At 44.3% G+C, this 27,905-nt stretch overlaps 1 pseudogene, besides 1 other annotated feature; it reads left to right on the plus strand.

The window, feature by feature from the left end:
- Positions 2,480 to 27,905, plus strand: part of WDR95P (WD repeat domain 95, pseudogene) — a 38,446-nt pseudogene continuing 13,020 nt past the window's right edge.
- Positions 15,167 to 15,735: an enhancer, noted in NCBI's record as "H3K4me1 hESC enhancer chr13:31664078-31664646 (GRCh37/hg19 assembly coordinates)". NCBI's record gives its function as "activates a minimal SCP1, AML or CMV promoter by ChIP-STARR-seq in primed H9 embryonic stem cells {active_cell/tissue: H9 hESC(primed)}" and the evidence as "EXISTENCE:reporter gene assay evidence [ECO:0000049][PMID:30033119]".

A 27,905-nucleotide genomic window follows, 5' to 3' on the forward strand; every position in this document is an offset into this window, starting at 1 on the left:
TCAGTTTGGACAACTGTCCCCTCCAAATCTCATGTTGAAATTTGATCCCCAATGTTGAGGTAAAGCCCAATGGAAGGTGTTTGGGGCATGGAGGAGGAGCCCTCATGAGTGGCTGTGATGCCATCTTCACAGTAAAGAGTGAGTTCTCACTCAATTAGTTCCTGTGAGATGTGATTATACAAGAGAACCTGGCACTGCCTCCTCTCTCTTGCTTCCTCTCTTGCCATGTGATCTCTGCACACACTGATTCCCCTTTGCCTTCTGCCAAGAGTGGAGGCTGCTTGAGGTCCTCACCAGGAGCAGATGCTGATGCCATGCTTCACATACAACCTGCAGAACTAGGAGCTAAATAAGCCCCTTTTATTAATAAATTATACAACCTCAGTTCTTCCTTTGTAGCAACACAAACAGACTAAGAGAGCACCCTTTCCCCTTCCTGGACACATCCTTGAACTACAGTATAGTGACATGCCCCTAAACCCAGGGTCCCAAGAGGCAGCATGAGCTAAGGCAGCCATGGATAAGCACAGTATTTAAAACATGTTTTGTTTTGTTTTTTTTGAGACGGAGTCTCGCTCTGTCACCCAGGCTGGAGTGCAGTGGCATGATCTCGGCTCACTGCAAGTTCCGCCTCCTGGGTTCACGCCATTCTCCTGCCTCAGCCTCCCGAGCAGCTGGGATTACAGGTGCCTGCCACCATGCCCAGCTAATTTTTTGTATTTTTAGTAGAGACGGGGTTTCACCGTGTTAGCTGGGATGGTCTCGATCTCCTGACCTCGTGATCCACCTGTCTCAGCCTCCCAAAGTGCTGGGATTACAGGCGTGACCCACCGCGCCCAGCCTTAAAACATGTTTTGAAACCGGGTAATATTTAAAGTTCTGGAACTTTCTAACAAAAATAGAGACTTCCCACTAATCTTGAAAATTAAGCAGATCTGTGTTAGAGTTCTATTTGACAAGGGTCTACTGGATGGAGCTGCACTCATCCTTCCAGATTAAGCATACATTCACTCTGGTTGAACTTTTCTATTTATTTATTTTAAAAAAATTTAGAGAGAGGATCTTGCTCTGTTGCCCAGACTAGAGTGCAGTGGCATGATCATAGCTCATTGCAGCCTCAAACTTCTGGGCTCAAGTGATCCTCCTAACTCAGTCTTCCAAGTGGCTGGGACTGCAGGCATGAACAACCACACCCAGCTAATTTGTTTCATTTTTTGTAGGGACACGGTCTTGCTATGATGTTGCCCAGGCTGGTTTTGAACTCTTGGGCTCAAGCTATCCTCCTGCCCAGCCTCCCAAAGTGCTGGGATTATAAGTGTGAGCCACTACACCTGACTGAAACTTCCTAAACAGAAAATTCTTCTCCATGATTCCTGAAAAATATTTGGACTGGTAACTTGTAGTAACATGCACAACACTCAAACAAAACCAATTATCCCTCAACTCATAGCTGAAGTCACACATGATGGAAGAGAGTTCTTATCTAGGGATGAAGGGAGTGGGAAGCTGAAGATTGTTCTTCTACCTTCTTCCTCCAAGGCACTTTCAGTCCCCTTGGACAAGGCAGAAGTCAGCAATCAGAGTAAGCCAGATGGTGTGGAGGGGAGATGGGAGAGGCCCTGATGTGTGTACTGAGGATTTCCTTCATGACCTTCTGGTGAGAATGATGTTTAAACCTATGGGAGGACCTTTGATTGCTTCTGTTTGATGCTACTATTTTGATTCTGTTTTCAGTAGATTCATAAGCCAATAAGTCATTTGCCTGAAAATACCTGCCAAAAGAATTGTAGGACAAAATTGCTGGTTGGTTGATGGAACGCGTAGGTCAACTCAATGAGCCTCAATTTAAGAGTCAGTCTGGATTTTAGGCTTGGTTGTACCATTTCTTGATGACAAGCTTCTTAACCTTTTTAGGTTAAGTTTTCTTACCTGTAAGTCGGAGATGAAGATGGTTGCCTCACTGAGTGAGGCTCAAACAAGATTGTTTTTGGAGAGGGCTTGGCACTAGGTAGAAATTTAATAAAAGTTTTCTCCAAATACAGTGACTTTCTTTATGTCACTTTTCTTTCCCAGGTGACTCTTCTTGTCTCTTATTAGAGGAGGGAGAAACATCTTGTTTTTCCTACCCGCATCACTTTTATTCTTCAGACTATCTGTGGTTTAACACCTGGGGGCGAAAGAAGAAGAAAACACTAGTCATCACTGAAAATGAACCTGAGACCTTTAAAAATCAGCAACCTGTCAGGAAATTGACTGATCATATTAAGAAACTGTATATCGTTTTCCTGTGAATATTGTTAGGGTGCACTATGGGAACAACAAATGTCAAGCAAAAGACGAAAGAGATAAGGAATGTTAGAAAAGATGTTAAGACAAGAAAAGGCCAAGCATTCCTTGGTTTGCCCCAAAGGCGAGCAGAATGTGATCAAACAATCTTTTGTAACTACAAAGGAGTCAAGACGTTTTCATTCCGTAAGGAAAGAACTTGCTGCTGACAGGTGGAAAGAATCAAATAATTAGAGTCTGGAATGCTTATCTGCCTGCCTGGGTAAGCTGTCTTTCTCCAACCAAGAGTGCCATTGATGTAGTAAGGTGCACAAAAGCCGGAGTAGGGGCCCCTAAATTCCTATTAGAATAACTTAAGAATTTACATCCAAAATTAATCCCCCATATGCACAGCCTGTGAAACTTCCTTTTGTGGCCTTTAAAGATTCATTCTTTGGAGTTTATTACAGCTCATTTAAAATGTAAATACTTTACAAGGACAAAGAGACTGTGTGGACCCATCATTCACCACAGCTGAGGATTTTTAAAACCAGATTGCTAGGGCCGGGTGCGGTGGCTCACACCTGTAATCCCAGCACTTTGGGAGGCTGAGGCGGGCAGATCACTTGAGGTCAGGAGTTCGAGACCAGCCTGGTCAACATAGCGAAACCCCGTCTCTACTAAAAAATACAAAAATTAGCCGAGTGTGGTGGCATGTGCCTGTAATCCCCACTACTTGGGAGACTGAGGCACGAGAATCGCTTGAACCTGGGAGACAGAGGCTGTAGTGAGCCAAGATCATGCCACTGCACTCCAGCCTGGGTGACAGAGTGAGACTCTGTCTAAAAATAAATAAATTAATAAATAAAAATAAAATACAATCAGATTGCTATTTTCCTACAATGAACCATGATCAGTGGTACAGAGCACTTAGGGATTTTGATGTGCAATCAGTGTACCTTTTTCAGTGTACCTCACACAGATCTCCCTAAGTATTCACTCACTTCTCCACTGGGGTTGTTTAGCCCTATCACAGTGAATGACTCTACCATCCCTAAGGTGTAGCAGAATTGACATAAAAGGGCAGGTGAAACTGACATAAGAAAATGGGTTGTTCCGGGAGGCAGAGGTTACAGTGAGCTGAGATCGCGCCACTGCACTCCAGCCTGGGTGACAGAGCAAGACTCCACCTCAAAAAGAAAGAAAGAGAAAGAAAGAAAGAAAGAAAGAAAGAAAGAAAGAAAGAAAGAAAGAGAGAGAGAGAGAGAGAGAGAGAGAGAGAGAGAGAGAGAGAGAAAGGAAGGAAGGAAGGAAGGAAGGAAGGAAGGAAGGAAGGAAGAAAGAAAGAAAGAAAATGGGTTGTTCTGGAAAACCTAGAATTGGGGTAGCAGGGTAATCAGTGTAAGCAGTAAAGGTGTGGTACCATCACACCCTCAATGGATAACATCGTTCTCTTTACGATCAGCCCCTGCCTTTCATCCTGTGCCCCTATCAAGCAAGTGCTCCAGGAACACTTTCTTGAGATATTGACAATTAACTACCATTTTACTGGGTTCTACAACCCAGTACATTATCTCTAATCCTCCCATCAACCCTACTTAGAAATGAAGAAACTGAAGCGCAGAGAAGTTAAATAACTTCTTAGAAGTAATGGCAGAATTAGGGTTTAAATGCAGGCTTGTCATTTCTGCTGAGAAGTGTTGAAGATGGGAGGAGAGTGGGAAATGGGGAGCTGATCTCTCCTGCATTGATAGTGGGAACCAGGGATGAGGACAAGTCATGGAGGACGTGCCAAAGTTCCCGGCAGAGCCTTCCTCCCTGGCATCAGTGGGGGGGTCCACAAGGGGACCCTGTGCTCAGCAGTGGCAGGAAGTGCCAGGACGGTGCTGTGTCATAGCTTAGCACGGGGGGTCTCACTATGTTGCTGCCTTCCAACCTGACCAAGTTCTACAGCCCCCATTTCCTCATCTGTAATGGTGATAAGAGGACCCACCTTCCGGAGCAGTAATAAAGACTGAAAATGAGATAAGACACACAAAACACTCAACACAATGTCAGATGCAGAATAAGAAAGAAATTATTTTCTGCCCACTTCTACTAAGACTCCCATTTGTCTGGTAATTGAGAACAATTTGCTGACTTTTCACTGACTTGGTTATTCTTAAAAATATAACCTCAGCCCTGCTTATCTTCTCCCTCTAACCCTCCCAGCCCTGAGACCCTGCAAGGGCACTGTAATCCCTCAGAGGTCCTTAAAACAAACTCATATTAAAAAGCCATCCCCACCCCCAAAAATTTTAATACTGTTCACTCCAGCCTGAATAAAGCAACAAAAAACTACCACGGAATCCATTCCAACCACACCCTGGGCTCTTCCTCATGTATTCCTTTTATAGTGATTATTGTCAACAGTTGGAGAAACAAAGCCCAAGGCTTCATCTCACCCTGAGTTATGTTGCTATAGCTGGGTATTATTTGCTTCAATCCTTTTATCACACAAGATATACTTGTGTAATTTCAGAGGGAGACATAACCCTCCTCCAGGCTGAATAGAACTGCCAGATCCAGGCCAATTTAGTTTTGCGTTTTTATTTAGAAATAGCAGATAGAGCTGCCTTGCATTCATCTGTTCTTTTTCCATTCCAGAAAACCAACAGGTAGGCTGAGAAGCTGCATGGCTCCAGTGATCCACATCCACATATCTGCTAAGGACAACAAAATATTTTCCATGTCCACCAACAATACGATTAAGGTCTTCCCTCTTCTGTATTTTGATGCATCCTCCAAGACAGGTTCAGAGAGGGAAGGTCTCCTTTTCATATTTTTCTTTTCCCCTCTTTGACAGTTTGAGGAGCCTCACTCAAATGGTATTTACCTATGTGAGATTGCTTTGCAAAGAGAGGATATGTAGGCAATTGAACTCGCAGTGAACTTTTCATACCAGGTGTTTTGTGTTGGGGTGAGTAGACTGCAGGATTTAGGGCCCTGTATGCATACTGTGCAAGTAATCCCTGTCCCAAATAGTCCCAACAGTGTGTGTTGGAGGAGAGAGAAGTGTTGCTGGGGATGGAATGGGACCTCAGGGAGGCAGTGGCCCTTACCACCATTGCTTATCACCTTATTTTGAAAAACACATAGGGCAACTGGGCCCTTTCTGAAATGTCACTTGTAAGGCTTAGAATTTCTGAGCCTGCTGGAGGGAGTAATATTACCATCTTGATTTCACTTGCCTTTCCACCTCTCTTTACACCTAAGATCCTGTCCACCTCTAAAATGTGGTAACCCTGTGACTGCCATCTTGCACTACTTTTTATACAAAAAGAAGTCTCATTGATCTGCTTCAGCTGTCATTTCACATGCTTTTCCAAAGAAAATGACAAGTTTTCCTAACTTTTCCACCTTCTATTCTGGACTCTCATGGGGCTGGAGGGAGGGAGTCTGGAGTAAATCAAAGGAATGTGGGATACTTAGAAAAGAAATCAATTTTACTGCTTTGTATAGATACAGAAGCCAGCTCACTGACCACTCACATCATAAATGATTCATAGATGTTATGGACTCAATTATATCTTCCTTCCCCAAAACACATATGTTGAAGTCCTAACCCCTAGCACCTAGAATGTGACCTTATTTGGAAATAAGGTCACTGCTGATATAATTAGTTAAACAAAGGTCATACTTGAGTAGAGTGGGCCCCTCATGCACTATGGCTGGTGTCCTTATAAGAATAGGCAATGTGGACATACACAGACTGAGGAGCGACCATGTGAAGAGAGCGAGAAGACTTGCAAGACAATAATGTCACCCTCTGCAAGCCAACAAGAAGGGCCTCAGAAGAAACCAACCCTGCTGATACCTTTATCTTGGACTTCCAACTGCCAGAACTGTGCAAAAAATAGATTTCTGTTGTGTAAGCCACCCAGATGGTTATGGCAGCCTAGGAGACTAATGCAATAGATTTGCCTAGTCTGTGATCACAAGGAGCAGGCCTGATTCATTTATTCATTCATTCAGCAAATCTACTGAATGTTACCGTGTGTCAAACATGTTCTAGGAATGGGAGATACAGCACACACAAAAATAGTCAAAATATCCTGCTCTCATGGAGGTTACAGTCTCATGGGGAGGAGGGATGGAGAAGGGATGGCAGAAATAAGTAAAATAAATCAAGGAAATAGTATGTTAGATGGTGACAGGTGCTATGGCAGTAAGGTAGGCAGTGGGGAGAGAGAGAGCAAGGAAATTCGTTTCCTGTCTCTAATAGGCTGGTCAGGAATGACCACAGTAAGGTGACGTATACAAAAAGGTCTGAAAGAAATGAAGGGGCAAGCCATGCATTTATCTGCAAAGAGTGTTGCAGGCACAGGAACCAGTGAGTGCAAAGTCCCTGAGGTGAGAGTCGAGAGGAGATGAGATCGAATAGAAACATGATGGTATGCAGGAGGTGTATTGCAGAGGGCCGTAGAGGCCTGGCTAAGGGCTTTGGTTTGTTGCTGTTTGGTTTTGTTTCTTGTTTCTTGAGACACAGGCATGACATGATATGATTTTCATTTTCACAGACTCTCATCCTGTTGTGTTGCTAATAGATTATAGGGTGGCCAGGGCTGAAACAACAGATTAGTCCGGAGGTTTCTGCAACAGCCTGAGTGAGAGGTGATGCTGGCTTGCGCAAGGTGGTCTCAAGAGAGTGGAGAGAAGTGGTTTGGTTCTGGATACACAGATTAGCAATCCCTTATTCAAAATTCCACACTTCAAAAAGTCCCGACAACTGAATTTCTTTTAATAAGGTTGAGTCACATTCACTTGGCAATGAAACAACCTGAACTGATTTGAGGCTGTTTAACAGTCTTTATTCCACTTGAAGTTAATATTTGTAGGTTTTGCTACAGAAATATAAATGTGTCCGATTATGTGGTGCTGCCACCAAGTCCACTGGGGGCATTAATGTGCTATATGACCTTTAAAAGTTCAAAATTATTTGAATTTCCAAACATACCTATCCCAAAGGGTGACATAAAAGATATTGAAGACAGGCAACTAAAAGCAGAGACAAGAGGATTTGGTGATACACTAGAGAAGTTTCTAAAAATAAGAGCAAAAACATAAAAGCATGACTCACTGAAACATACAGGATGCATCGAAGGCGGTGCTTAAAGGCATAAACATCTGTAAACAAAAAAGATCTTAAATCGATAATCTCACTTTCCACATTAAGATACTTAAAAAGAGGAGCAAATTAAATCCAAAGCAAGCCAAAGGAAGTAAGTAAGATTAGAGTGGAAATAAATGAAATAGAGAATAGAAAATCAATACAGAGAATCAACAGAACCAAGAATTTTTATTCCTTTGAAAAATCACCCAAATTGACAAAACTTTACCTAGATTCACCAAGGGGAAAAAAGGAAAAAACTCAAATTACTAAAATCAAGAATGAAAGAGGGAACATCACCAATCTCAAAGAAATAAAAAGGATTATAAGGAAATACTACGAACAATTGTATGCCAACAAATTAGATAACCTAGATGAAATGTACACATTTCTAAAAACACAAACTATTAAAATTGGCTCAAGAAGAAAAAGAAAATCAAGAGATTGAATTATTAGTTTAAAAAAAAAAAACTTCGAACAAAGAAAAGTCTAGGCTTCTATGGCAATCACTTAAAGAAGAATTAACACCAGTCCTTCACAAACTCTTTTAAAAAAACAAAGAAGAGGAGGAAACATTTCCTAACTCAGCCTATGGGCCCAGTATCCTGATGCCAAGCTCAAAAACATCACAAGAAAACTATAAACCAATGTCTCTTACAAATATGGATTCAAAAATTCTCAACAAAATACTAGCAAACTGAATCATACAAAAAGAATTATACAATATGACCAAATAGATTTTATCCCAGGAACGCAAGCATGATTCAACATATGAAAATCAATGTAATATACCATATTAACAGAATAAAAGACAATCGACCATATAATTATTTCAATAGGTGCAGAAAAGGCATTTGACAAAATCCAACACCCTTTCATAATAAAGCTATTCAACAATCTAGGAATACAAGAAAAATATGTCAACCCAATAAAAGGTATCTGCATGAAACTCACAGCTGACATTATACTTACTGGTGAAAGCTCCTTCCCCCTAAGATCGGGAAGCAGGAAACAGACATGGATACCTGCTCTTACCACCATTTTTAAATCCATTTTATTTATTTATTTATTTATTTTGGCTATTGAGTTGTTTGAGTTCCTGGTATATTCTGGAAATTAATCCCTTGTAAGATGAGTAGTTTGCAAATATTTTCTCCCATTCTACAGGTTGTCTCTTCACTCTGCTGATTGTTTCCTTTGTTGTACAGAAGCTTTTTAGTTTGATAGAGTCCTGTTTGCCTATTTTAGCTTTTGTTGCCTATGCAGAATATGAAGAACTCTTAAGCTCAGCAATAAAAATACAAATAGCCCAGTTTTAAAATGGGCAAAGGATTTGAATAGACGTTTCTTCAAAGATGGCCAATAAGTACATGACAAGATGCCCAGCATCATTAGTCACAGGGAAATACAAAGCAAAACCACAATGAGATTTCTTTTTATACCCACTAGGATGGCTAAAATCAAAAGATAGGCAAATATTGACAAGAATATGGAGAAATTGGAACCCTTCTACATTGCTGGTAGGAAATTAAGATGGTACAGCTACTTTGGAAAACATGTTGGCAGTTCTCAAATGTTAAACATTAAGTTGCCTATAGACCCAGCAATTTCACTCCCAGGAATATACTCGAGAATTGAAACTGTATGTTTACACAGAAATCTGCATATGAATATTCATGGCAGCATTATTTATAATAGGCAAAAAGTAGAAACAACCCAGATGTCCATCAACTGGTGATTGGGTAAACCAAATGTGGTGTAAATGTAGAATGGAATAGTATTCAGCAACAAAAAGAAATAAAGTACTGATATGTTACAACACAGATTAACCTTGAAAACATTATGTTAAGTGAAAGCCAGTCACAAAAAGCCACATATTATTTTGCTCCATTTATATGAAACGTCCAGAATAGGCCAACCCATAACAGAAAGGAGTTATGAAGTTGCCAGGGCTGGGGTGAGGTAGGAGTAAGGAGTGGCTGCTATTGGTATGGGGTTTCTTTTAGGAATAATGACAATGCTCTGAAAATTAGGTAGTGGTGATGGCTGAATACTTATGTGGATATACTGAAAACCACTGAAAGCATTTTTAAGGGGGTAGGGCAAGAGGGGAGCCAAAGATGACACCAAGGTTTGGGGTGTGAGCTAAAGACTAAGACAAGCAATATGGTGAGTGACAGGGGGATAAAACCAGGAGCTCTGTTGTGGATGTGTTGGATAGAGTTGTCCTGAGTTTAGGGGAGGTGCCAGGGCCAGAGATATGAATTTGGGAGTCATTAGCAATTAGATGGAATTTTAAGCCATGGAATGGATGAGATCTCAAAGGGAGTGAGAGTGAGCAAAGAAGAAAAAACCTTCAGACACTGCATACTGGAGCCCTGGGATGTGCTGGGATTTTTTTCTGTATGGGTCCAATAGGGCTCCTGTATAGTGAGCTTAGAGTCCATCCCATGGTGATGATGAGGATATAAAATTAAGTTGGTGATACAGCAAGGATCCAAATTCAATTCAGTCCTCTGGGCAAACTTCATTAAAATGGTAAGATTTGTGAACTTTGGTTTTTGATTTATTTTAAAGATAAAATTCATCCAAAAGCATCATCCAAAGCCACAAAGTTGGAGACTTCATATTTTTAATGAGATTTTCTTTTTTTCCCCCAAAATTTGCCACCCTCAGATAATCATAATTCTGTATGTGGGGACATGTCTTATATCCTATTTTCTTTCCCTAGTGCCACTCCATTTTCTCCCAATCTAAACTCATGATTACAAGATTAGCATCTTGCCTATGATGATTCAGGCATATTGAATCACATCCCAATGTGTATTTAAAATATATCGAAATCCTATCTTGGAAATATGGCCTGTACATTATTTCAGAATATATTATTCCTATCAAATAAAAACTAATCAACTAGAAGCCAAACAGCTAGATTTCTAGCATGCCTGATCTGAGAGTCTTCATTCTTTGAATTGATTTTTCAGCCCAAATATTTTACTCCTGTAAATCGCAGGGACACACAAAACATTTCGGAAGTCTGCTGGTTTCTGGCATTCTCTGAAGGAGAGTAAAGTGACAGATTCAGATTTCCTTTTTCACTTGTTATTTTCTGTGAATTTAAAATTGCATATCACAAACAGAGCTATTTTGTGTCGACCGGAATTCAGATGGAAAGAAAATGATCTCTTGCAAGGAAGATAGGCATGGTGTATTCGTTGGGGTAAGGCTTCTACTGTAACAAATAAACCCCACGTTTTCAATAGGTTACAGCCAAAGTTTATTTCTGTCTTCTGTGACATCCAACACCAGTGCCCCTGGTGAGTGGGTGCTTCTCTCCCACCCGAGGGCCAGCCTCTCTCCAGCGGGTGGCTCCCCTGCCATAGGTCCTCAGAGTCCTCTGCATCCACATGCAAGGGATGTGACAGTAGAGAGGGCACACCTGCTTCTTCTGAATCCCAGTCAGAAGTCACATGCATCACTGCCTCTCACATCCCATGGCTGAGCTCCCGACTACTCTGGATAAAAGGGAAACTGGGTCATGCCTTCGTTTGGCAGCACTTCTCAGCAACAACTCTACATGTAGACAGAGAAGCATAGCTTCTGAGGGGGACAGAAAACTTTGGAGACATACATTCTTGAGTTTCAATTGTGAAAATGCCACAGGCTAGATGACCTAGGGTGAATTATTCAATCCTTCTGAACTGAGTTCCTTAATTCTTTTGATCATTCATACACTCTCTTACTAAATGGGTGAAAGACCCACATGTAGGGTAGTTGAGCTCATTCAAGGTCATGTAGAAAGTGTGCTCACCAACGCAGAGTTTTACCAGGTGACTCATTTGAGCCCAAGAGACAAAACTCTAACTCAAATAGCTGGAGTTTAAAAAGGAGGATTTGTTGGTGATTGAAACCAGATCATGGAACAGTTGGCCTCATGGGCAGCTGGGTTCAGAGATGGGACTGTTGCTAGCATGTTCTCTGCCTGCGTTTCTCATTTCTGCTCCTTGGTACACCTTGGCCTCCTCAGCTCCTCCTGCAGACAGCTTTTCTCCCTCCAAATGGTAGGGAACATAGATGCCCACAGCCCTGAACTCATCTTCCAATTTCAGTTTCACTACTAGCGCCAGCTGGAACAATTGGAGGAAAGGACACAGATTGGCGAGGCATGGGTGCCAAGACCACTCTTAGAAAAAAGGTGGGTGCTGGGCTGACAACAGATACGTCAGTGGTGGTTACTTTTTGATGGCTATTTATATTTGGAGGACTTAAGGCCAATTTGCTGAATCGGCTTCAACTTCAATATGAAGAGTTTCTTCCCACCTTTCCCTTCTTGGACTTTGGTGGGAGTCCCTGTATAGCATCCCACCTGACATCCTTCTTCCCAGGCTCCAGAATTAGCTCTGTGCTCCTCCCCAGCATTAAAATCCTCCTTCTCTAAGCAACCTTATGTCATTAAGTGTGAAACAAATCAACAGATAAATGAATTCACATGGAGGTATTAGTGACTGATAATAGCTATGTATGTTACCTTTCTATCCAGAAAACGGAGCACCTTCAAACAAACCAATATTCCAGAAAGGAGAGAGAATGCTCCTTGAAAAAGCAGCCCGAAGGGCCACCTTTTCCATGGGATTATTGTACTGTGATCACTACGGCTGTCCCCATGCTGCCCTGCTGGGAAGTACAGCTCCCCTGTTTTATGTCATGACTTAAAAGCATAGATTAAAAAGGCTGGGACTGTCAGAATGAGTTCACTAACTGCTAGGGAGAACTACAGAAAAATAAACACAGGGTATACAAACCACAAATAGAGTCTGGCTTAGGAGGTAAAGGCTTCAAATCTCACCAAAGCTAATTTGTTTAGTGGAGACTCGGAAGAGGAAAAAACTCCATTCAGGCACACCCCACCCACTCTAATCCTTAGATTTTCCTGTGATGCTCTGGAGGGAGACTGGCCTGAGGTTAACCCTCTGGTTTAGCTCCTTCCCAGCTGTGTAAACTTGGTTGTGTTATTTAACCTTGCTGGGACTCAACGGACCATGCTTACCCCCCAAAGTTTGTCTAAGAGAGTATTAATTTGCTGGGTGTGCCATAACAAAGTACCACAGAGCAAGCAGCTTTACAACAGAAACGTATTATCTCGCCATTCTGGAGGCTGAGAGGCTGAAATCAGGGTGTCAGCAGGGTTGGTTCCCTCTGTGGGCTGTGATCGAACATTGGTCCCGTGCTCCTCACCTCATATCTAGTGGCTTGCTGGTGATCTTTGGCATTCCTGGGCTTGTAGAAGCGTTATCGGGATCTGTCTCTCTTCATCTTCACGTGGCATTCTTCCTCTGTACGTGTCTATCCCTGAATTTCCCCATTTTATAAGGACACTAGTCATATAGCATTCAGGGCCCAACCTACTCATCAGTAGGACCTTCTCTTAACTGATTACCTCTGCAACAACCCTATTTCCAAATAAGGTCACATTCCAAGGTACGGGAGTTATTCGACATATGAATTTGAGGGGGACACAATTTAACCCACAACAAAGAGTAGACAAAACAATGCATGTAAAGAATTTAACACAACATCTGGTACATGTCATCTCACTAAACAACCACTGCCTTTGTGACAATCATCATCTTCCCAAATTCACACTTGGCCTGACTGCTTCTCCCCCAGGGATGCAGTCCTCCCTTGCAGCCCTCACCAGGCCACAGCACATGAAGCTACTATAAGAACTATGCCATGATTTACACACCAATCGCAAGAAATGACTGGCAGTACCATCATCATTTTATTTATTTATTTATTTAATTTAATTTTTTTTTTTTTTTGAGACTGAGTCTCGCTCTGTTGCCAAGGCTAGAGTGCAGTGATACGATCTTGGCTCACTGCAACCTCTGCCTCCCGGGTTCAAGCAGTTCCCCTCAGCCTCCTGAGTAGCTGGGATTACAGGTGCCTGTCACCATGCCTGGCTAATTTTTTTATTTTTAGTAGAGATGGAGTTTCACCATGTTGACCGGGTTTGTCTGGAACTCCTGACCTCAGGTGATCCACCCACCTGGGCCTCCCAAAGTGCTGGGATTATAGGGGCGAGCCGCCACGCCCGGCCACTATTATCATTTTGATCATGTTGTACTATTGCCATGTTGTAGCCACTATTCTAAGCATTCTATTTTTTTAGTTTTTTAATTCCCTAAAACAACTCTACAAGGTAGGTACTATTATTATTCTCCCATTTTATAGATGAAAAACCAGGGAGAGAGAGTGTAGTCACTTGCCTGTTAGGAGATAGCACTGAGATTCCAAACCAAGCAGGTGGCTCTGGACTTATGTGCTCAGTCAATATCCACCCTGAAGTGTATTCCCTGTGTCCTTCAAATATCTCCCTAGTGACTGGTTTTGAAAACCTGTTTTAAGAAAGGGGAGGCGGGCGGATCACGAGGTCAGGAGATCGAGACCATCCCGGCTAAAAACGGTGAAACCCCGTCTCTACTAAAAATACAAAAAATTAGCCGGGCGTAGTGGCGGGCGCCTGTAGTCCCAGCTACTTGGGAGGCTGAGGCAGGAGCTTGCAATGAGCCGAGATCCCGCCACTGCACTCCAGCCTGGGCGACAGAGCGAGACTCCGTCTCAAAAAAAAAAAAAAAGAAAAAAAAAAAGAAAGGGGAACCTATATGAGGGCAGAGGTAGCTCTGTGTCACAAATCAGATGCGTGGTGTTCAGCTCTGCTATGAAAGTAAGGTCCATGGAAAGAGATGTCACTGGTCTTCTCCTTGTAGGGGACAGTAAAGCACATCGCCCGAGTGGCCTGGGGGCAGGTATCCCCTCTCCTCAGGCAGCTTCAGCATGGCAGAAGGGACCAGGAACACAGGCCTCACTGTCTGCTTCTTTTGCAAACAACTAAGGAGAAGGAACCCATTTCAATATATTATTTTGGTGGGGTGGGTATAGGGCAGTGTTTAAATTTCGGTCAAGCCAAGCCAGGCCCCACGACAGATAGCGGCTGCACAGCAGGCTGTTCAAGACCTCTAATTACATTTTCCCCCATCTCCTTCTCAGATCTGAGATCTGGAAGCCTACAGCTGCTTGTTTATGGCCTTGTCAAAAGCCGGTGGGCTAAAGGTGAGCTCACAGCCTGCCTCTAACTCCCTGGCCCCCGAGCTGTGTGTGTGGGCACTGACACTGTTGCACTCCTGTGCCTGAGACAGAGGTATGGAGTTGTCCTTTTGGCTCCAAGCACTCAGTTCTCTAGAGGGTTCTGCGGAGCCCTGTGCAGCTGTTTTCAGCCTTCTGCTTAATGTTCTGCAGTGAAGATCGATGTGCAGGCTCCCGAATTGCAGGCCCTGTGTCCCCAGCTTGTAGGATATTTTTGGTGAGCTCTCTTTAACATTTCCCATTAATTACTCCAGCACCACCTTCCTATGCTATTGAAAAGCCTGTGATCTATCTCTTAGGCCTATTCTACCCACTGGCCCTACTCCTATAGTAAATTGCCCTAAAATTTACTATGGGGAGCTGTTTATTCAGCCAAAAAACATTGACCTGACAGGCAGATGTCAAGCAGAGACAGCCCTGGAGGGCCAGCCCACCAGTCTCATTGCCTCAGCAGTGACCCATGTCTGAGACCCCTGTCCCTGAGGCAGGACAGTCATGCAGGGATAGCACACACCCAGGTGATGACGTAGGCTGGATGGAGGGTCCCCGGGTGGGCTGCTTCTGCCCAGGGCCTTAGTGTCCAGGAGCTCTAGTGCCTCAAGACCCAAGCCTCCTTGATTCCTCTGCAGGTGAGGTTTGCTTGGTTTCCAACCAAACCAAGCTTGGTTTCTTTGGCACACCTTTGCCAAGCCACGTTGCCATTGCCTCCTCAGTAAAGAAAATGAGTGGCCGCCTGCCTTACCTTTTCCCACTGAGTGAGGTCACTGAGGACATTGAATGCCTATCGGCTCCAGCTGCCCGTCTCTGTCCTGCCTATGCTGAGACTGCCTGATCTTCCTGAAGAGTTTTAAGTTCTACCTCCCAGATACCCAGTAGTCATCTAGCCCAACTCTGAAGCTTTACAGAGAAGCAAACAGAGGCATAGAGAAGGCAATGCATTGCCCCAGGGCACAGAGGAGAACTGGGGCGGTTATTATCCTGTCTTGGGACGCCCAGTCGGCAGCTTTCCATGCACTGGGCCACTTTCATTGGAAAGGCTGAGCTCTCTGTGACTTCAAAGGGAAAGACAAGCCCTATGCTTTTTAAAAAAAACAATCAGACAATAGGAGGTGCATTGACTAGTCTCCTTTTTCCAGAGCCTGCAAAGAGGGCTTCATTCAGATGGTCCTGAGAGGCCCAGTAGATGTGGGGTCAGTCATGACCCTTTTCCCAGGCTCCCCAGGGGAGGAGCTCTACCCTGCCCACCCAGCGGGGCTGTGAGCAACCACCACCTGCACTTTGAAATCTGCCATCATAGCCCACACATGGGTCAAGAGTGACCCACTCATGGGTCAAGAGTGACCCACTGTCATTGCCCCATTACCCGCCTTGCTGCACCAATACAAACACATTCTTCGCTCCCCATCAGCAGCTGCCCCCTCCGTGTTCAGCAATATCCCAAATCCAAACTCAAGAGTTTATGGGAGCTAAAAAAAGGACTCAGGAAAACTTTTACTTTCAGCTGACTCTTACAGCTTACATATTTCAAATCCCATCTATATGGTAATGATGACTGGATTTCCTGAGCCAAAAATCATGACGTGTGGCCTCCCCAATGTTTTTTCTTGATTTGTGAACACAGGCACAAGAAGATTCTCAAATACAGTGATTGGACTCAGTGATTAAATCACATGTCAAGAGTTAACTTCAGGGAAAAGTGATCAAACCTCACAGCACCAGAACTACATGGAGAAGTTTAGAATGTGCGGCCGCTGCCTGTGTCTGTCCCCTCCCTTTCCGACGTGCTCGCCGAGGCCGTGAAACAGCCTTCCTGTTCAGGACTGAGAGAGCCGGAGCAGAGCAGCTGCCAAGTCATCATCACAGCCGGGCTCGGGAGCAGGGTCTTCACTCAAGATGGCAAAATAACCAGCTGAGAAACAGAAGCTTCCATCAATCAAGCTGCTGTTTGTTCTACATGATAGCATTGTGTAGAACAAACAGCATGTTTGATTGATTTTTTTGGAGCAAGGTGACTGAAATTCCACTTCATAGCAAACACAGCCTCAATCTCTAGTGCCAATGCTTAAGTGCCAGATAGTTCATCTCCCAACCCCCCGCCGCCCCCGCTCCCGGCATCCCTGCTCTGTCACTCAGGAGCTGTGTGACCTGGATCCAGCTACCCAACCCTCATCTGTGAAGTGAGGAGCCTCAGCTCCTTCCCCCCCAGTGCTGCAAGGGGAAAGGAGGGAAGGAATTAGGGTGCTGGCCCGCAACCCGTGTTTTCTCTTTGGGCCTGGGCTTCCCAGGGCCTTCCCTCCTCCTCCCACACCCAGTCTCCACCTTTGCTTCCCGAAGCCCAGAGACCCTTCATGAAAACATTTCTTTTTTTTTTTTTTTTTTTTTTTTTTTTGAGACGAGTCTTGTTCTGTCACCCAGGCTGGAGTGCAGTGGCGCGATCTCGGCTCACTGCAAGCTCCGCCTCCCGGGTTCACGCCATTCTCCTGCCTCAGCCTCCCGAGTAGCTGGGACTACAGGCGCCCGCCACCACGCCCGGCTAATTTTTTGTATTTTTAGTAGAGACGGGGTTTCTCCTTGTTGGCCAGGATTGTCTTGATCTCCTGACCTCGAGATCCTCCTGCCTCAGCCTCCCAAAGTGCTGGGATTACAGGCGTGAGCCACCGCGCCCGGCCGAAAACATTTCTTATGCCAAATCCTGCTCTTTCTTGAAGAGGATTCTCCCATACCACGAATCTTCTGGGCACCAGGTCTGAGGCTTGAGATCTGTGGGAAGTTCACCTGTTCCACTGCAGCCAAAACTTGGGGCTAAGCAGTGGAGCAACAATAAAGGCAGAGGGTGGAGTGGTGATCTCAGAACCAACATTCCTTTCTTAGGTGTCCACTGCCTGCCACGCTCCTCCTTTAAATAAAAACACTTCATATCCTTCTCGCTTACTCCTCACAAATTTCCATCAAGGATTCGTTTTGCTGACGCGAAAATTAGTCCACAGGGGTTGTGTTGCTTAACCCCAGGGCTGGCTGGCTTTCTGTGTGCTGACCTTCAGAGATGGTTCATGGAGCAAGGCCCTGCATGCTCAGGTGTGATCTTCGCACCTGGATGCCCACCGGAGTCACACAGCAGGGCCCCCCTGGGCAGAAGCAGCCCATCTGACCTGGCTTTCTCGCTGCTGGGAGCAAGAAGCACTGCCTTTCATGCACGAGGATTCAGAATGGACTAACACATTTGTGTGTGTGGGAAGATCTAAATGAATAGGGAAGAAGATCTATTCTGCAGTCTCACAAGCCTCATGCTTGGAGAGGAGATGTGTGTTCTCAGTTCTGAGGTTTACCAGTGACTGCCGCTCATCGCATGCCAATTACATACGTGAAGTTCGGTGCTCATGCCATTATATATTTTCTCATTTAATCCTCCAAACAGTCCTTTAAAGTAGATGTCACAATCCCTATCTTACAGATAAGGAAGTTGGGGTTTTGAGCAGTTGAGGGACTTGCCCAAGGTCATAGACCCGTCATCTGAACCAAAGCCTCTCCCCATGATCATCCTTTAACAGCACAGGGGACACCTCACCCTGGGTAACCATGTCATGCAGTTGGCTCAAGTGTTCATCCTCTTTCTGTTTTCCTTGAGCAAGAGCTGCCCTGGAGCCTCACCTGACACTTTCCCACCAAGAGCTCATGGTGTGCTACAGGTACAACCCAGCCTTCAGGCACATGGTCAGCTTCGCCCAAGCGTCTGTAACTATCACATCCTGCTCTCTTCAGCAATGATATATTTAAGAGGAAGAGCCTGGCCTCTCTGTCCTCACCTTAGAACTGAACAGCATGTTCTGGGGATGTTCTGTCCCTGGAAGTAAACAATGAGAGAATCAATTCTACTCTACCGAGGATCAGGTATTGTTTGGACAGCCTACTATGATGGTCAGATGAAAGCGTGTACAGTTTCTCCATGGTCCATAGTGTGAGCTATCTGGAAGGATAATCCTGGTAGCATTATTTCATTGCAGTTCTCTTGTGTGGTGTAATATGATGACTACCACCCTAACACCTTGTAACTCTAATCCAGGTTACAGGATTCTGCAGAGCATTCCATGTCCACTGCCCCTCACAAAAGGGCTCGTGAAGCCCATGCCATCTGCATCCTGTTCATGGCTCAAATGCAGCCCACTGGCATGAGGCAGTGTTCCCCCAAAGGGGATGGGGCATAATCAGTGCTCATTGAATACGAAAAAGAGACAGATCCCATGATTCATGTTCTTCTGTCCTCAGGCTAATGGGAAGGCACACCCCAGCTACACCCATGATGTTTTAATGCTCTGAAGTCTCGTAATATTACTTCAGTCACTTTCTGAATCACTGGCCTGGGCTCTGATGTTACATGAAAGCGGCCCTGGGGCATGTGGCCATGCCCTCTCTCCTTCTTCTCCGGGCCTTAGAGCATCCCCCCACAGGCCCCGCCATGTCCTCGTCATAATCACATGCATTCCAGCTTCACTCCCAGGGAGACTCAGTTGTCTTCCCACATTCTTGCCCAGTTTCTGCTCCAGAAATAAGTGATCACCATGGTTTTATTAAGTATTTTTAAAAATAGATTACAGTTGGCTCTCTGCACCCATGAGTCCTGCCTCCATGTATTCAGCCAACCATGGATGAAAAATATTCCAAATAAATAAACAGCAATACAATGATAAAAATGATACAAATAAAAAAACAATACAACATAACAACTATTGTGCTAGGTTATATGCAAATATTATGCCATTTTATCTTAGAGACTTAAACACCCTTGGATCTGGGTATCTGCAGTGGTCCCGGAACCCATTCTCTACAGATACCAAGATCTATTGTTCAAAATTATTTTATGATAACTCAGTCTCAATACATCTCAAAGAAGGTCAGCTCCTAAGTATTGGAGTTCATGCTCATGAAGAAGTATTTATCTTCTATTTATCAGACTCTCTTGTGACTCCAATGAAGCCGACATTTTACCTTCTCAGCATCCTACACATTCCTGCCCTGTGCCTCTGTCCAACCATTTACCATCTCATCTGGAACTTTCCTGCCTCTTGCTCTTCTCTTCTGCATACCTTAGTGATCCTTCAAGGTCCAACTCAAGTCACAGCATATCCATGGAATTTCTCTTCCCTACCCTGACTCACACAGGCTTCTCCCTCTCCCTGACCACCCCGTCTTAGTCCCTCATATTGTAATCACCCAGTGAGTTCACCTTGCCCGCTGCCTAGACAGAGCTGATTTATCAAGACAGTGGAATTGCAAGGGCAAAAGAGTAATTCATGCAGAACCGGCTGTGCAGGAGACCAGAGTTTTATTATTACTCAAAAGAGTTTTTAAGGATAATTTGGTGGGTATGGGCTCAGAAAGCGGGGAGTGCTGATTGGTCAGGTTGAAGATGAAATCATAGGTGGTCAAACTGAGTTCTTCTTGCTGACTTCTGTTTCTGGATGGGATCCTAGAACTGGTTGAGCTGGATTGTCAGTCTAGGTGGTGTCATCTGCTACATCGGAATGCAAGGTGTGCAAAATATCTCAAGCACTGATCTTAGGTTTTGCAACAGTGATGTTATTCCCAGGAGCAATTTGGAGAGACTTTTGTAGCCAGAAGCTGCATGGCCTCTAAACCGTAATTTCTAATCTTGTAGCTAATTTGTTAGTCCTACAATGCAGGCTGGTCCCCAGGCAAGGAGTTTTTAGGGGAAAGGGCTATTATCAATTTTGTTTCAGAGTTTAAACTACAAGCTAAATTCCTTCCTAAGGCTAGTTAGGCCTACATCCAGGAATGAACAAAGACAGCTTAGAGATTAGAAGGAAAACAGGGTCAGTTAGGTCTGATCTCTTTCACTGTCATAATTTCCTCAGTTACGATTTTTGCAAAGGCGGTTACAACATCATGGTGTTAGTTTGTTTCCTGAGAGTGAGCATCCCCTCTCCAACAAGTCAGTGGGCACTTGAGCCCAGGGATCTGAGAATCTGTGTTTTGCCTTCTGTCTTTCTTGATCTGTCAAAACCCTTCTTCTCTTTCAAGGCACAACTCAGATATCAGCTCCTTGGAGAAACCTTCTTAGACCCTCCCCCACCATCCCCCATCTAGGCAGAATGAATGGCCCCATTAGCATGTAAGCTTCTAATTCTATGGTAACGCAGCCCACCTCTTCCATAACATTACTTTTGATAAGCACATTTCCCCTGGCAGTAGGTGGTAAGTAGATGTTGAATGGAGATACAAATACTCACATAGCTATTACTCTAGCAGGTACATGCTGTTAATAAACTCTCTAATAATGACTGAATGAAATTGTTTTTTTTTTTTTTTTGTGACGGAGTCTCGCTTTGTGCCCAGGCTGGAGTGCAGTGGCATGATCTCCGCTCACTGCAAGCCCCGCCTCCTGGGTTCACGCCATTCTCCTGCCTCAGCCTCCCGAGTAGCTGGGACTACAGGCACCCGCCACCATGCCTGGCTAATTTTTTTGTATTTTTAGTAGAGATGGGGTTTCACTGTGTTAGCCAGGATGGTCTTAACCTCGTGATCCACCCACCTTGGCCTCCCAAAGTGCTGGGATTACAGCCATGAGCCACCGCACCCGGCCTGAAATTGTTAATTTGAGTATTTGCTCACCTTGCAGATATGGCACTGTGTGAAATCTTTATAACATCATTATGGCCACTGCCACAATCCATAGGATCTAAACTACATTACACTGTTGACATTCGAAGAGGAGAGAATATAGACCAATGTCTTCATGAAGCCCAAATTTATAAATAACATTATAAATGTTGTCCATTTGGTCATATAGCACTAGGGACCACCAACTTTTAGTGCCTCGGAAAATGTTTGAAAACTGCACAATTAAAACTAATAAAAGTTTAATTAAATGTTTACAACATATTACATACCACCTATAATTTTATTTATATATATAGTTATATAGAATATGGAAGTTTATTTTGAAAGAATAAGATAATTTTTATCAACAGACCTTAAAACTATAAATCTTGTTTACATGATTTTAACATTAAATAGGAATATTTTTAAAATATGGGATGTGGTTGCCTTTTAATATGTTTGATTGAATAGAATCTCCAAAAGGAAGAACACTTGAGCCTGTGAAGTTCTTAAATTAATCCTTCTGTGGTATAAAATTCCCCCTACAAAGTGCAAGTAAGGTATACCTGAGAAAGCATACATAGTACCATTAGACATTTCTTGATTTCTAAATAGAACCCAAAAGTTATTTTGAAAGACATTTTCATTGTTCAATCTTTTCACTTCCATTACCAGCAGTAGCAGCTTCCTTAGGGGATTTTTTTTCTTTTTTTAGGAAACAAAGAAGTGCCTTTTTAAGCACTTAATGGGAGACCTGAGCCTAGAAAGGCAGGTGGAGAGGAGGACGCCTCCCTCGGGTGTGGCTCCGGGCGGGCGGCCAGCCCAACTGCCCAGCCCAACTGCCCAGCCCACGCCTGCTCTGGCTCACCCTTCCATGCCAGCACCTCATCACCAGCCAATGGGTCCTGAATTCAAATCTGGTCCTGTAAGGCCCCAAGGGGTAATTCCTGCCCACTGCATCAGGAAAAACCACAGCCTTGCAGGAGGGAAACAGTTTAATAGACATGAAGTCAGCCATGCCACGTGGGAGATGGAGTTCCTACTCAAATCATCTCATTCAAATCTCATAGGTTAGGAGTTTTTCAAAGGCAGTTCGGGGGAAGGGGTCAGGGTGGTCAGGTAACAGGTACTTGCTGCTGATTGGTTGGGGCAGAGATGAACTCATAGGATGTTGAAGCTGTCCTCCTGTGGGAGGAATCACTTCTGGGTGGGGCCACAAGAGCGGGGTTTTTGGTCCAGGTGGAGCCGTCAGTGTCAGACATGCAAAAAAACCTGGAAATAGATCTCAAAAGGCCAATCTATAATAGTAGTGTTATTTGTAGGAGTAATTGGGGAAGTTGCATGTCTTATAAACCCTGGAATAATGTCTGCACTTTAGCAGGACCCAGGCTCCTATCCTCCCCTGCAGCCTCATGGCTTCCTATTAGCTTTACAAAAGCAGTTGAGTTTTGGGCAAGACCCATTATCATTTAAACTGTAATCTAAATGCCTTCCAAAGTTAGCTTGGCCCAATAGCCCAGGAATAATGAAAGGAAAGGCAAGATGAGGTTTGGGTTAGCTTAGCTTACTGTTTTAATTTTCTCACTGATATAACTTTTGCAAAGGCAGTTTCAGTCCTCAACCATATTACAGATCACTGCATGTTGCAGAACTTTGGGTTATCTGCAAGTGGTTGAAACCATGAGGTGAACTCTAGTAATGCTATGGGTCTGTTGCAATGTTATGGATAGCAGATGAAAGCACCTGAGTGGTAGACATCCCTAGAAACCCTGGCATTGGAAGAGGACAGAGGGAAGTAAACGACGTGTGCACAACTGAAAATCTGTTCTCAGGGATTTGAAATCAACAACGAGAGGACACCTTCTGGCTTTTGGTTTGGAGACCTAGAACTTTCATGTCAATGTAGCTGCCTCTTTTACAAAGTGGCAGATCAGAAGAAACATTCAATAGTTTTTAGAAAAGATGCTGTCCCCCCGTGATTTCTCCTCCCACACTATCACTGTCTTTTAGAGATTCTGTTATCAAAACACCAAGGGTTCAGTCTAGGTCCTGCTGCTCACCACACAGAAAGCCAATCACTGAGACAATGAGTATTGCCAGGGAAGAAAGCTTTAATCTGGGACTGCCCCCAAGGAGAAAGGGAGATAAAGTCTTAAATCCATCTCCCCATCATGTCAGAGGTGTTCAAACAGGAGCAACTCCATCTTGAATAGGGGCTGGGCAAAGTAAGGCTGAGACCTACTGGGCTGAATTCCCAGACAGGTAGGCATTCTAAGTCATAAAGTGAGATAGCAGGTCAGCACAAGATACAGATCATAAAGACCTTGCTGATAAAACAGGTTGCAGTAAAGAAGCCGGCCAAAACCCACCAAGAGGGGGATGAGAGCAACCTCTGGTCATCCTCACTGCTACACTCCCACCAGCACCACGACAGTTTACAAATGCCATGGCAATGTCAGGAATTTACCCTATATGGTCTAAAAAGGAGAAGCATGAATAATCCACCCCTTATTTAGCATATAATCAAGAAATAACCATAAAAATGGGCACCCAGCAGCCCTAGGAGCTGCTCTGCATATGGAGTAGCCATTCTTTTATTCCTTTACTTTTTTTTTTTATTTTTTTTGAGGTCTTGTTCTGTCGCCCAGGCTGGAGTGCAGTGGCGCAATCTTGGCTCACTGCAAGCTCCGCCTCCCAGGTTCATGCCATTCTCCTGCCTCAGCCCCCTGAGTAGCTGGGACTACAGGCGTCCACCACCACACCCAGCTAATTTTTTGTATTTTTAGAAGAGACGGGGTTTCACCATGTTAGCCAGGATGGTCTTGATCTCCTGACCCGTGATCCGCCCTCCTCGGCCTCCGAAAGTGCTCCTTTACTTTCTTAATAAACTTGCTCTCACTTTACTCTATGGGTTTGCCTTGAATTCTTTCTTGTGTGAGATCCAAAAACCCTTTATTGGGGTCTGGATCAGGACCCCTTTCCGGTAACATCTTTCTGGTGACCATGAAGGGACAATACTGGTGAGACTTCCCCCGCCCAACCCAAAGGAAACAGACTGCAGCACCATCAGTTAGACTAGGTATGTAAGCGTATTCAAGAATTCATAAAGAAAAATGTTTAATATCAGATGATAATATTGCTATCTTTCTAGATGAAAAACAAAGTGAAGTCTGTGATTGTACCTACTTGGAGGTGAACCAAAATAAGTGAGTTATATTCAGCTTGGATATAAGAGGGGTTGTATTTAGGAGGGAACCTTTTTCTGTCTTTTCCTTTTGAGACAGAGTCTCGCTCTGTTGCCCAGGCTGGAGTGCAGTGGCACCATCTCAGCTCACTGCAACCTCTGCCTCCCGGATGCAAGCTATTCTCCTGCCTTAGCCTCCTGAATTACTGGGATTACAGGCATGCACCACCATGCCTGGCTAATTTTGCATTTTTAGTAGAGATAGGGTTTCACCAAGTTGGGCAGGCTGGTCTTGAACTCCTGACATCAAGTGATCCACCCGCCTTGGCCTCCCAAAGTGTTGGGATTACTGGCGTGAGCCACCGTGCCCGGCCAATGTAAAGTTTTTTCTGGAGGAAGGCACCCAGACAGTGAAGGGAATTTTCCAGAAGAAAATGTGTTGAGGCATTCCCGAGGACCCCAGTTGCTCCCCAGTGGTAATTTAGGCAACTAGTCTCTTCCAGAACATTGGAAGCAATTCTCCGCACATTTTGACAATTGTTTAGAAATAGAGAAAGCAAGCACTGTTATCCCCCAGCCAAATGCATTGTTAAGAAAGAAATCAGAGACTGGCGTAATTAAATTCTGCTGCCATAAATCAAAGAATAAAAATCTACCAAATTCCCTTCTGGACACTCAGAAAGTAAAAGCAATTCTTGGCCAAGCTCTGTTCATAGTTCAACCTTACCTCCATGGATCCATGCTCCTAGGACCAGGCAAGCCTCAGAAAGGCAGCTGCTGATGGAGCAGCATCTGTCGACTCAGAAATTACAGGGCATCCTATTCTTGTCTCCTGATCCCTTAAACACCAGTTAAAAAACTGATTGTAATTTATCAAATCACATTTTACCGTGCTCTTCATAAACAAAAGAGATTGTGTTCTTGTTCTCTTCATTAATCAGATGGATATGGCAAAATTAAACCACAGTCTTAATTCCCCCACAAACATTAAACAGATGAAAAGCTTAAATATCAAAATATAAAGTTCTGTTACTGTTCTAGGTGTATCATAGTTGTTGGGTGAGACAGAAGAATAGTTGTGTATTTTATAAGTGAAACATATAAAACGATGATATTTCAAAACCCTCCATCAGATTTATCTCCTTCTTTCCCACTCTCTGTTCTTTTTCTTTTAACCATCTTTCTCACTCTGTTAATTCTTTTTCTTCTAAACAGAGATTTTGGAGAAATCCTTTACACCTTTGTTTTCTGGTACAAGTCAGGTTGTGATATAGACAGAAGAGTTTCCTCCCTCCCTGCCTGCCTTCCTTATTTCCTTTAAAAACCTTTATACGGCCCAGCATGGTGGCTCACACTTGTAATCCCAGCACTTCAGAAGTCTAAGGCGGGCGGATCTCAAGGTCAGGAGTTTGAGACCAGCCTGGCCACCATGGCAAAACCCTGTCTCCACTAAAAATTCAAAAATTAGCCAGGCGTGCTGGCGGGCACCTGTAATTCCAACTACTCGGCAGGCTGAGGCAGGAGAATTGCTTGAACCCGGGAGGTGAAGGTTGCAGTGAGCCAAGATCATGCCATTTCACTCCAGCCTCGGCAACAAGAGTCTAAAACCTTTTTACTTCATTTGTTGCATAGTTTATTTTCTCTAGTTCCATTCCCTAAGACGAAGTAATAGTTAGAACAGCTCTTGGGGCCAGAGAGGGTATCCCTGGGAATCAAAACCAAGCCTGTGCCTTGAACACCGGCAGTGCTTCCCCTGGCCTTGCGCTCTTTGCCCTGTTTTCTAACCCTTTGTCGAGGCTGGTCGTGGTTCTGGCTCCCAGCCTGCAGGGTTTTCCAGCTGTGGCCACATCCCCTTGCTCTCAGCTGCCATTAACTGGTCTGTCAGTTGTCTCACCTTCGGTTTCTTCCTTCCATCTGCCTGGTCCTTACATCCTAGTTCATCTCTAAATGGAAAGAGGAGATGTGATGCTATCCACAGATAGCTCTGCGGAAAGAACTTTTTTTAGTGGCTTAGGTTGGGGAAGGGGATGAAGAGACAGGAGAAGCTGAAAGTGCTGACTAAAACTAAGTTTTAAATCTCCCCGTGGCATTTTCTTTCTCTTGCTTGCTATGCTGTGTAGTCATGGATTTCCACGTCTTTAAACACTGTAAGTTCTTTATTCATTTGAAAGTGTGCTGTATTTCACAGCGTAAGCCTTGCATCTGCAGAATGATCTGAGAGATGACTACCTGAGAAGTCTTGGTATTGAATTTGTCTTTTGGAATTACAGGTTCCTGGGCTGATGGCTTTGGTTTTAGCACATGCAACAGCTAAGGGTCTTATTACGAAGGCGAAGCTATGCAGACCATCTAGGAGAGCTTGTCAGTTGACACATGATTTGCTGAAATGCAATCACCCAAACGTCAGGAGTGGATTGCTTTTTATTCCTACTGGCACTCGGGGAATTTGCTTTGACATTTCAAAAATCTGCATCACTGGTTGGGGGTGAGGGGTAGGGTTATAAATGTGCTGACACCTTCTCTCTGAAGCAGCAAGTGTCTGGCAGCTCATTTTATTGCTTGTACAACATCTCCTCTTTGGCTTTGGATACAGGACATGCCACATGACTTTCGTCACTTCTGGAAACCACAGCCATGCTGGCAGGATGACCTGGTGAGCCCTGGTCCCCTATCTGTCTGGCACACGACCAGGGTCTTTTTTTCTCCAGAGTCTCCCCCTGAGTCTTCTGGGCCTGCCTCAGGGCTCACAGCATCTCAGAAACCTCTGCTATAGCAGGATTCATGATTGAGGTCCAAGCTGAGCCAAAAGCACTGAGTGCGAGGGATCCACTTCCTCTTTCGGAAGAGTGACAGCCCAATGTTCAGGTTGGGGCATGAGGCCAGAGGCACAGGGTCCAGTAATCTACCTTGGGGGTCCTGGGGGGCACGAAGGGAGGCTCAGGGTGTGTTGGGTGTGATTTTCCTCAAGGAAGTATCTACATCATGCTTCTGTTTGGTGGGCCAAACTGTATGCATTCACTGTGCCATCCTTTGGCAGCCAGGGAGCCTAAGAGATGGCATTCCTATTGCCTAGTGGCTTGTTAGGGGCCCATAGCCAGAAGACTGCTTGTGATTCTTATTAGGACTCAAAATGTCTCCAACTTTACACAGCTTCCCTGGACTGAATGATCTCCCTCAAAATTGTCTGGATGCCAAGTCAGTAAGACGTGTGTTAAGAAAGCAAGGTCAACTGGGTGCGGTGGCTCACATCTGTAATCCCAGCACTTTGGGAAGCCGAGGCAGGCGGATTGCCTGAGCCCAGGAGTTTGAGACCAGCTTGGGCAAAATGGCAAAACCCCGTCTCTACAAAATAAAACTTTTTAAAATTAGCCAGGTGTGGTGGCACACATCTGTATTCCTGGCTACTCGGGAGGCTGAGGTGGAAGGATTGCTTGGACCCAGGAGGTCAAGGCTACAGTGAGCTGTGATCATGCCACTGCACTCCAGCCCAGGAAACAGAATGAGACCTTGTCTCAAAAAAAAAAAAAAAAAAATCACTGTGCCCCA

This window comes from Homo sapiens, chromosome 13, assembly GCF_000001405.40.
Source record: "Homo sapiens chromosome 13, GRCh38.p14 Primary Assembly".
Classification (NCBI taxonomy): domain Eukaryota; kingdom Metazoa; phylum Chordata; class Mammalia; order Primates; family Hominidae; genus Homo; species Homo sapiens.